At 36.3% G+C, this 11,865-nt stretch overlaps 1 annotated feature.

The window, feature by feature from the left end:
• Positions 3,892–4,061: an enhancer, noted in NCBI's record as "experimental_26433 CRE fragment used in MPRA reporter constructs". NCBI's record gives its function as "activates a minimal promoter by MPRAs in K562 erythroleukemia cells, with activity observed for the non-introgressed 12:17599622 variant allele {active_cell/tissue: K562}" and the evidence as "EXISTENCE:reporter gene assay evidence [ECO:0000049][PMID:34662402]".

The raw sequence follows: 11,865 nt of genomic DNA, 5'->3' as shown, positions 1-11,865 counted from the left end.
TCTCTCCTACTTTTGGAGCACCTCCCGTCTTATGAGGCAGAAGTCTTATCATAAATGCTAAAAACCCCAAATCCTTTGAACTGAAAGCATGGTTGTAAATTCCATTAATTATATAAACCTCCTGTAGATTTTTATTGAATCAATAGAGATCATAGAGAATTTAATCCAGTGGAGGTAGCAGGAATGAGGAAATAGCATCAATTTCCACAGAGAACCATCAAATAGGTTGCAGATCTAGCAGGAGTATTCAATAAAGAGTGTCAGCTTCATTGTGATAGAGGAGGAAGTGTAGGATCTGCTCTTTGCAACAATACACTAATGTGTTACCTGAACAATATGTTCAGTGCTTTTCAAAACACAGGCTAAAACAAATGATGAACAAAGGAAAAATAATTAAACTGGAGTAAAGTTTAAAAATATAGGAAGTTATAAATTATAAAATACACAAATATTTTAAGCATAAAAATCATTTCAATTTTAACAACAATATAAATGAGTTAATTTATAGCATTAAAAGGCAGAGTCCATCTGATAGATTAAATTAACAAAGCAGAATAAATGCACAAAAAATCAATTATATCTGTCAAAATATAATTAAAACAAGAATGGAAAATGCATTTTTTACATTATAATGTACTTAAGATAACATGTATTATTTTAACCAACTTCTCTCTCACCTACCTACAGTAATTTGATTTTTGCAAGAAATACAGGACACCTATTCTTCAGTAAGACAGCACTATTATTATCTTAGCATCATTATAATGGATGGGTTTTTATCCTGTTACATGAAAAGATACCAATATCTATGAAATATAAATAAAAATGATACCGACCTAAGTTCAGGTAATGAAAGTGTATTGCTTCATGTGCCAAGTGAATGACAATGGCTCCTTTAGTTTTCCAGGTTTTTGAAATACAGGAGATAAATCCCTTGACAGCTCAAGAATGAAATAATAGGTACCAAAGGCTTTTTTTTCTCTTGTTTATTTCCTCCAATAAAGTGGCCAATCTGGCACAGCAAATGAAACGCTGAATTTAACAAGCAACTTCACGTGCAATAAATTATTGTCATTTTTCGAAGTCTATTTGAATTCCAGACTGGCCAAACATATCTTTTAATTTTAACACACACATTATTTCAAACTCTGTTCTAAGACTTTGCAATTATCTCATTTAATGCTTACAATAAATCACTCTAGCAGGTAGACAGTACTTTTTCTTTGCATTTACAAATAAGAAAATGCAGGTATAGAAAATTAAAAAAAAAATTGTCCTAGAAAATGCAAATAGTAAGTGGTAGACTTAAAATTTGAATTAGTGTGTCTGTTTCCCTTAACTAAGCTCTTTTTTTTCCTGCATTTTTTATTTATTTATTTATTTATTTATTATTATACTTTAAGTTTTAGGGTACATGTGCACATTGTGCAGGTTAGTTACATACGTATACATGTGCCATGCTGGTGTGCTGCACCCACTAACTCGTCATCTAGCATTAGGTATATCTCCCAATGCTATCCCTCCCCCCTCCCCCCACCCCACAACAGTCCCCAGAGTGTGATGTTCCCCTTCCTGTGTCCAAGTGATCTCATTGTTCAATTCCCACCTATGAGTGAGAATATTTGGTGTTTGGTTTTTTGTTCTTGCGATAGTTTACTGAGAATGATGATTTCCAATTTCATCCATGTCCCTACAAAGGACATGAACTCATCATTTTTTATGGCTGCATAGTATTCCATGGTGTATATGTGCCACATTTTCTTAATCCAGTCTATCATTGTTGGACATTTGGGTTGGTTCCAAGTCTTTGCTATTGTGAATATAACTAAGCTCTTAATGCCACCAAGATGCCTCTGGGTGTCATGAGGATGTCTCCAAAATTGGTCAAGTCCTAAATATTGCGTTAATGTCTTTGATTTATTCAGAATGTGAGAAAACTTTGGATTTTCTATAAAGAGAGGACTTCATGGACTTCAATTTGACACTTCTCATCACAATATTTTATATTTCATTACTCATAGAAATCAATGTCATACAGTTTCCAACTTTATCTCTTCCCACTGTACCACAAGAGCTGTTTAATAAAACATCAGGTTTTTTTTTTTTAGGTTCTTTGAGCCATCAAAAGCATCCGATAGTTTTCCCTTACAATATAGTACTCTATATTTTCAAACTTATGTTCTAATTTTCATATTAGAAAAAAATTCCCAACAAAAATTGTCATAAATTAGAAAGCCATTGAATCAAATTTTATGTTATCTTAACCTATAAGAAATCACAGATTTTTTTTTCTCCCAGATCTCTTAACATATATTGAGCCAAGGATTTTGAAATTTTGTTTAACTTCACAGTGTAATTAGAAGCCACAAGCCATTCTACCTTCTTTCAGTTCTTCATGCTCATCATACTGTTTGGTGCCAGTGGCTACTGGATGCCTCAAAGCTTTGCCTTCACTGGGAGTTTTATGATTCTTGATCAAATGCACTAATTTTATTACCATTCAGCCTCTAAACACGGTGGGCTGCTCGAGTAACATCTTTTTGTACTATTAGCTACAACCTTACTGAAAGATTTCCATTTTCTGTTGCCTCAATGTGGCACCAAATACTATATCAGTTTTAATACTTGCCACAACACTATACACTCTGGTTAGTTTAAGAATACAGATTATTTGTTGAAGGATATCCCAGAAATCTGTGATACAGTCAGGAGTTCAAATTCAAAAGCTGATTTAGTGAGCACACAACTGTTGTTTACACACAATACAATACATTAACGTGTTCAGAAGCTTTGCAACTGCTGCCTTTAAAAGGCCTCCAGTGTTACATCATCTAAAGATTGAGACTTTTCAGTGCTTTATTTTTCAAGTTGCTTATTTCTTAATTAAAATATCACCGACTCTATTTGCTTGGCAGTTCCGAAATCACATGTTTCCAGTCTCCAGAATAAAGGGAAAAGTGGAGAGTAAATATCAACTTTCCCATTAGAAAAGAAGAACTTATGAGACTTTCTCCAAACATAAATGGCTGCTCAAAGGATTCCGCGTCACCACAAAAATAATAATATTAAAAATGTGTAAGCTTTCCCACTCCTTGAATGTTAGAAAACATTAATTTTATTTTCTTATTTGAATTATGCATGGATTAGATATAAATTTATTATTTTTCCTTAGACATGTATTTTCAAGTATTGATTATTGCAAATTACAGTCTGAAATTAATGTGCTGCTTGTGCTTATCATACAAAACATTCTTTGTTTTGTTTTGACAGTTTTCCAACGTGTCCTCTTCATCACTGATGTCTTGAAAATTCATTAGAATACATCAATACTTATTTATTGTATTAATATTTTTAATTGTTTCTTCTCAGCTATCAGTTGGCCTTTTCAGTCTGGATGGTACAAAACTTCATTTGGCTTAGAAAAATAATATTCTTACAATCAACTCTCTTTTTAACTACTCAAGTTTTAAAAGAATATTATTTTTACTACTTCCATAGTTTCACTTAATGCCTTACCATGTACACTTTTTATTAAAACCTAGAGGTTTTCTGTTGAGGTGATGTAGCAAAACCTCTCTTGTCAAGATCCTGAATGAACTCCAAAAGAACAAGCCCAAGGATATCTCATGTCTTTTTTTCTACAGTATATCACATGATCACATCCTCAATGATAATCCTGTTTTTCTGATTGGCTTTACACTCCATCTTCTTGATTCTTCCATCTTTCAGATTACTCCACTGCCTATTTTGTTAGCTCTTTTCCCTTCCCCTAAAACTTAAACATGATTATGTTACAAGTCCCTTTGGTCAACTTTTCATTTACTTTATTTTATTTTATCGAGATATCTGATTTTCTCTGATTAGATTATTTTCATCCTTGTAGACAAATTGTAAATCTGTACTTAGATATCTGTCTAGTCTTGAGAGCTTCAGTTACCTATATTACTATGTGCTATACTTTTCTATCTAGATATCCTTTTTCAAACTCAATATACATAAAACCCAGTCTACTTATATAATTTCCTACAAGAAAAAAAATCAAATAAAAAATAACTAGATCCTTCTAGGGATCCACCTTGCAGTAATGAGACCCAAAAATTCAGAACTGAGTTTCTTATTAACTTTTTCATAACCAAGGTGAGCTGATCCAGGAATAAAGAAATAGGATGGAGGAGGCCTTGTTATTTACATTTTCATGATTTTTATCTCAATGCGTTCAGATGCCCTAGTATCCAAGGATGAACGCTTTCATCAGGAAACATTGTTATGCTTGACTGTAAACTGGAAGCTGAGATTGACTGATGGCCATGTTAAGCTCATCTTGCCAATGAAACAAAATGCAGAAAAACAATTACTATGTTTGCTTAGAAGACTTGTTAAAATTACCATGGAGAAATTGGGTTGCTACAACACAATAGGAACAAGGAGAAATATATTTGGAGTCCAGGGTTCACTGGGGCTCCTTTTTTTTTGAGACAGAGTCTTGCTCTGTTGCTCAGGCTGGAGTGCAGTGTGCGATCTCGGCTCACTGCAACGTACGCCTCCCAGGTTCAAGATTCTCCTGCCTCAGCCTCCCGAGTAGCTGGGACTACAGGCGCATGCCACCACACCCAGCTAATTTTTTTTATTTTTAGTAGAAATGGGGTTTTATCTTGTTAGCCAGGGTCTCAATCTCCTGACCTCGTGATCTGCCTGCCTTGGCTTCCCAAAGTGCTGGGATTAGAGGAGTGAGCCACCATGACCAGCCCACTGGAGCACCTCTTATATCTTCTTGCCCAACAATTCTAATCAACAGAATGTTATGGCAACTGAATAAACACAAAACCAATAAGAACTTAGATCCTGCTAGAATGAAGATCTTTTTAATCCACTAAGTAAAATCTAGCCAATCTAGCTAAGGTGCTAGCAGAAGGTAAAGGTAACTACAAATGTATAATTGAAGAAGGAACCATGATTACCAACTTAGTCCTCAAAACTTGCCACAGGGAGGGACTATAGTGCTATATTTTATTGCATATAATTGTGTTATTTTATCCTATTTTCCCCTCCTACCTTATATTAAGTGTCCTAACAATTTGCTTTCCTGTTGTCATTTGTCATTACTCTGTGATGATATAGATGGATAAGACTTTAAATATTTTCTCTTTCCAGTAGATAATATTCTAGTAAGATTAAGTACAAAAGTGGATGTTAAGGGGTAAATGGAATGGATGATGTGAGATATCGTCTCTTTGCTCTTCAGATCTGCTTTCTACACATTTCTTCATGCTTTATCCCATGGTAGGCTGATCTACAGGTACTGATTTAATAGGTTCCCTTCTTCTGACTTTCAGTTTGGATGCCATTGGAAAAATGCAGTAGGAGATTACAGGATAGAAAAGAGTAAACTCAGATTATTTAACACTCTAATGGTGAACACTTTATGATGATTTTTTTTTCAACAGAAAGCCACTTTTAAATTGGGGAAAATTATCTCTTTTGCTGAGTCTAGATTTAGGAATGGAAGAGCTTTCCTGCTTCAAATTTATGTTTCCTGCACTATACTGTAACAATATCCTATATCTTTCTTGTTTCTTTATAATTAGTTGTAATTTAAATAAACCCACCTGGTCTTTCCCCCAATTTTGATATCCTAAAATAAATGATGCATTTCTTCTTATGACCGTAAAAACTAAATTATCCATTCCTCAATGCCAGAAGTAAACACCAACCTGAAGATGGTATGAATCCTTTCCAAACATGTTTTATATTTTCTCTACCTATGCTCATGCATTTAAATGTTTTGTATTATGTAAAGTGTGCTTTTATTTTAAAAAATTACAAATTGTAAAGTTATACTTTCACAATTGGCAGGTTTCATTTGAAAATAGTTCCTAGTTTATCAAGTATCATAAAAATAGAAACAAACATTAATGGTAGCAAATAGGAAACAGTAACAAATATGATAGATATTAAACCAATTCTATCAATAATCACGTTTAATTTCAATTGCCTAAGTGTACCAAATAAAAGAGATTTTCAGAGTGGATAAAAAATGACACCCAACTATATGATGTCTACAACAACCCACTCCATATATAAACATATATAAACAGACATATACAGTAAAAGTAAGTAAATGAAGAAATGCATAGCATACTAACACTAATCACAATAACGTGCAAATAGCTATATTAAGGAAGAAAAGTTGTCAGGGGTAAAGAGGGGCATTACATTCTGAAGAAGGGGTCAATTCTCCAAAAAGGCATAACAATACTTAATTTATATGTGCCTGAAAATAGAGCATCAAAATACATGAGGAAAAAAATGAACTGAATTGCAAGAAGTAAATAAATCCACTGTGATAGTTAGAGGCTTCAACATCCTTCTATTAGAAATAGAACAGCAGTTAGAAAATTAATAAGGACACAGTTGAACTCAATGATATCAATCAATTCAATAGAATTGATCACTATAGAATACTTTATCCAACAACAGCACAATACAATTATCAAATTCATGTGGAATATTCACCAAAGTAGACTACATTCTGAGACATAAAACACACCTTAACAAATTTTAAAAGGATAGAAATCAGAGCCTCAAGTGGTGGTGATGTCTGTAGTCCCAGCTACTTGGGTATCTGAGGCGGGAGAATCCTTTGAGCCCAGGTGTTAGAGGCTTCAGTGAGCTATGATTACACCACTGCACTGCACCCAGGGTGACAGAATAATACCCAATCTCAAAATAAAATAGTAAAATAAATCATACCATATATATTAGTCCATTTTCACACTGCTGATAAGACATACCTGAGACTGGGAAGAAAAAGAGGTTTAATTGGACTTACAGTTCCACATGACTGGAGAGGCTTCAGAATCATGGTGAGAGGTGAAAGGCACTTCTTACATGGCATCAGCAAGAGAAAAATGAGGAAGATGCAAAAGCAGAAACCCTTGATAAAACCATCAGATCTCATGAGACTTATTCATTATCATGAGAATAGCATGGGAAAGACCAGCCCCCATGATTCAATTACCTTCCCCAGGTCCCTCCCACAATACATGGAAATTCTGGGAGATAAAATTCAAGTTGAGATTTGGGTGGGGACACAGCCAAACCACATCATTCCATCCCTAGCCCCTCCAAATCTCATGTCCTCACATTTCAAAACCAATCATGCCTTCTCAACAGTCCCCCAAAGTCTTAACTCATTTCAGCATTAACCTGAAAGTCCACAGTCCAAAGACTTCTCTGAGACAAGGCAAGTCCCTTTTCCTATGAGCCTGTAAAACCAAAAACAAGCTAGTTACTTCCTAAATACAATGGGCGGTACAGGTATTGGGTTAATACAGCCATTCCAAATGGGAGAAATTGAGCAAAACAAAGAGGTTACAGGGCCCACACAAGTCCAAAATCCAGTGGCGTAGTCAAATTTTAAAGCTCCAAAATGATCTCCTTTGACTCCAGGTCTCACAACCAGGTCATACTGACGCAAGAGGTGGGTTCTCATGGTCTTGGGACTCTGTGTGGGGGCTTGAACCCCATTTTTCACTTTTGCACTGCCTTGGCAGAGGTTCTGCATGAGCCCCTATGTCCCCCACCCCACCCCACCCCACCACACCAAACTTATGCCTGGGCATCCAGTTGTTTCTATACCTCTTCTGAAATCTAGGCAGAGGTTCCTAAACCTCAATTCTTGACTTCTATGAACATGCAGGCTCAACACCACATGGAAGCTGCCAAGGCTTGGAGCTTCCACCCTCTGAGGCCATGACCCAAGCTCTATGTTGGCCCCTTTCAGCCATGGCTAGAACAGCTGGGACACAGGTTACCAAGTCCCTAGGCTGCACACAGCACAGGGACCCTGGACACAGCCCATGAAACCACTTTTTTCTCCTGGGCCTCTGGGCCTGTGATAGGAGGGGCTGCCTTGAAGGTCTCTGGCATGGCCTGGAGACATTTTTCCCATGGTCTTGGGGATTAACATTACTCTCCTTGGTACTTAAGCTAATTTCTGCACCTGGCTTGAATTTTTCCCCAGAAAATGAGTTTTTCTTTTCTACTGCATTGTCAGGCTGCAAATTTTCTGAACTTTTATGTTCTGTTTCCCTTATAAAACTGAATGCCTTTAGCAGCAACCAAGTCACCTCTTGAATGCTTTCCTGCTTAGAAATTTCTTCCATCAAAAACCTTTAATCATCTCTCTGAAGTTGAAATTTCCACAAATTTCTAAGGCCAGGGCAAAGTGCTGCCAGTCTCTTTGCTAAAACATAACAAGAGTCACCTTTACTCCAGTTCCCAACAATTTCCTTATCTCCATCTGAGACCACCTCAGCCTGGATTTTATTGTTCATATCACTATCAGTGTTTTGGGAAAAGCCATTCAACAAGTCTCTAGGAAGTTCCAAACTTTTCCAGATTTTGCTATCTTTTTCTGAGCCCTTCAAACTGTTCCAACCTCTGCCTGTTACCTAGTTTCAAAGTTGATTCCACATTTTCAGGTATGTTTTCAGCCACACCCCACTCCTAGTACCAATTTACTGTATTAGTCTGTTTTCACACTGCTGAGAAAGACATATTCGAGACTGAGAAGAAAAAGAGATTTAGCTGGACTTACAGTTCCTCATGGCTGGGGAGGCCTTAGAATCATGGTGGGCAGCAAAAAGCACTTCTTTCATGGTGGCAGCAAGAGAAAAAAGCAAAAGTGAGAACCCGTGATAAAACCATCAGATCTTGTGAGACTTATTCTCTATCACAGGAATAGCATGAGAAAGACTGGGCCCCATGATTCAATTACCTCCCCTGGGTCCCTCCCATAACATGTGAGAATTTTAGGAATACAATTCAAGTTGAGATTTGGGTGAGGACAAACCCAAACCATATTACCATGGATGCATCCATACCACAATGGATTAAAATTAGAAATGAGTGATAGAAAGACAACTGAAAAATTCCCACATATATGAAGAATGAATAACATACTTCAAGATAAAACATGGGTCAAGAAATAATATCAAATTTAAAAATATTTTAAACTTAATAAAATATAGTTTATGAAAGTTTATAGAATGCAGTGAAAGCAGGGCTGAGAGAAATTTATGAGATTGAATGGATATATATTTTTGTTGTTGTTGTTGTTGGATTTTGTTTTTGTTTTTGTTCTGAGACAGACTCTTGCTCTGTCGCCCAGGCTGGAGTGCAATGGCGCAATCTTGACTCACTGCAACCTCTGCCTCCTGGGTTCAAGCAATTTTCCTCAGTCTCCCGAGTAGCTGGGATTACAGGAACGCACCACCACACCTGGTTATTTTTTGTATTTTTAGTGGAGATGAGGTTTCTCCATGTTGGCCAAGCTGGGCTCGAACACCTCACCTCAGGTGATCCAACTGCCTTGGCCTCCCAAAGTGCTAGGATTACAGGCGTGAGCCACCATGCCCGGCAAAATGGATATATTTGAATAGAAGAAAGGTGTAAAATAAATAATACAATATTCTACTTCAGAAAGCTAAAAAAAGAACAAATTAAATTTAAAATAAGCAAAAGAAAAGAAATAATAAAAGTTGGAACAGAAATTAATGAAAAGCAAAACAGAAAATCAATAGAAAAAATGATACTAATAGTTGATTCTTTAAAAAATCAATAAAATTGATAAACCTCTAATCAGGCTAAGGATTAAAAAGACACAAATTACTAATAACAGAAATGACAGAGCCTATGGATGTTAAATGGATAACGAAAGAATACTATCAATAACTATGCACACAAATTTGATAACCTAGATAAAATGGATCAATTTCTTGACATTTGGGAAAAGGCAAAATTATGGAGACTGAAAAAAGATCAGTGGAGGAGGAATAGATGAATAAATAGGAGGAGGACAATATTTTGTAGGCCATGTACATACTCAATATGACAATATAATGGGGATATATATCATTATACATTTTTCAAACCCATAGAAATACAACAACAAAATGGATCCTAATATAAACTGTGAACTTTGGGTGATAATGCTGTGTCAGTGCATGTTTATTAATTGTAAGAAAAATACCACTTTGGTGGAAGATGTTTATAATTGGTGAGGCTATACATGTGTAAGGGCAGTGGGTATATGGAAAATCTCTGTATCTTCCTCTCAATTTTAAAGAGAAGTATAACTTCTCTTTAAAAAGTCTTTAAAAGCCAATTGAGGCATTTAAATTAAGTTTTAAAAAAATTCAGGCAAGAATAAACAAGTGGAAAAATAAGAAGGAACATACAGGAAGCAAATAAAATGTCAGACAAATTCTACCATATACAATTTACATTAAATGACCGTGGACCAAATTTTCCTATTAAAATATAGAGATTGACAGAATAGATAAAACACAGAAGCCAAAAGTAGACTCTTGAAAAAGGTTAACAAAACTGATAAAACTCAAATTAAACAGAAAGAGATCACCAACTACCAATATCAGTTATGAAATACCAGTTCTTACCAACATCAAAAATGTAACAGAATATAATGAACATCTGTCAACAAATTTGACAACTTAAAAAAATTAAGAATTTTTCCTCAAAATTTTTCCTAATATGTCAGAAAATAAAGCAAACATCTACATAGTAATATATCTATTAAAGGGTTTAAAATAAAAATCAAGAATCTTTACATAATACTCCAGGTCAAGATGGTTTTACAGCTCAATTATGTCAAGTATTTAAATAAAAATAAAACCAATTCTCCACACCTCTTTCCGAAAGTAGAAGAGAAAGAACAGAACTAGATTTACCAAGGTAATCAAACATTATAAAGATATTACTGGATTAATAATTTCAAACTCTGGATGATGTTAACTCACCAGAATGAATTTACTTAGAACTTCCCAACACACATTCAAAATTAGGTTTTCAGGTTGATTCTTACGATGCCACTGATATACCAAGTGGGGACTGATACAGCTTGTATCTGTGTCTGGACCCAAATATCTGTCCAAGTTTAATCCCCAATGTTAGAGGTGGGGCCCTCACACAGGGGCCCCACTGGGGCACTGCCTACTGGAGTTATGAGAAGAGGACCACTGTCCTACAGGCCTCAGAATGGTAGAGGCACCGACAGCTTGCACCATGTACCTGAAAAGCTGCAGGCACTCAAAGTCATTCCTGGAGAGCAGCCTTGGGGACTGAACCCTGGAAAGCCACAGTGGCAGAACTGCCCAAGGCCTTCTGAGCCCATCCCTTACACCACTGTTCCCTTTATGTGAGACATGGAATCAGTGGAGATTATTTTGGAGCTTTAAGATTTAATGAGTGCCCTGCTGGGTTTAGGAGTTGCATAGAGACTGTATCCCCCTTCTTTTGGCCAATTTCTCCCTTTTGGAATGGGAGTATTTACCCAATGCCTGTACCTCCACTGTGTCTTGGGAATAACTAACTTGTTTTTTGTTTTTTGTTTTCTTTTGTTTTTTTTTTTATTTATGTTACAGGCTCATAGGTGGAAGAGACCTGCATTGCCTCCAGTGAGACTTTGGATTTTGGACATTTGAGTTAATGCTGGAGTGAGTTAAGATTTTGGGGATTGTTGGGAAGGCATGACTGTATTCTGCAGTTTGAGAAGGACATGAGATTTGGAAAGGGCTGGGGTGGAAGGATATGGTTTGAATCTGTGTCCCCAGCCAATTTTTTTTTTTTTTTTTTTTGAGACAGAGTCTTGCTCTGTCGCCCAGGCTGGAGTGCAGTGGTGCCATTTCACGCCATTCTCCTGCCTCAGCCTCCCAAATAGCTGGGACTACAGGTACCCCCCACCACGCTTGGCTAATTTTTTGTATTTTTAGTAGAGATGGGGTTTCACCGTGTTAGCCAGGATGGTCTCAATCTCCTGACCTCGTGATCCACCTGCCTCAGCCT

This window comes from Homo sapiens, chromosome 12 (assembly GCF_000001405.40).
Source record: "Homo sapiens chromosome 12, GRCh38.p14 Primary Assembly".
NCBI classification, from domain to species: domain Eukaryota; kingdom Metazoa; phylum Chordata; class Mammalia; order Primates; family Hominidae; genus Homo; species Homo sapiens.
The sequence above is the reverse complement of the archived record's forward strand: the minus strand, read 5'-3'. Positions and strand labels throughout refer to the sequence as shown.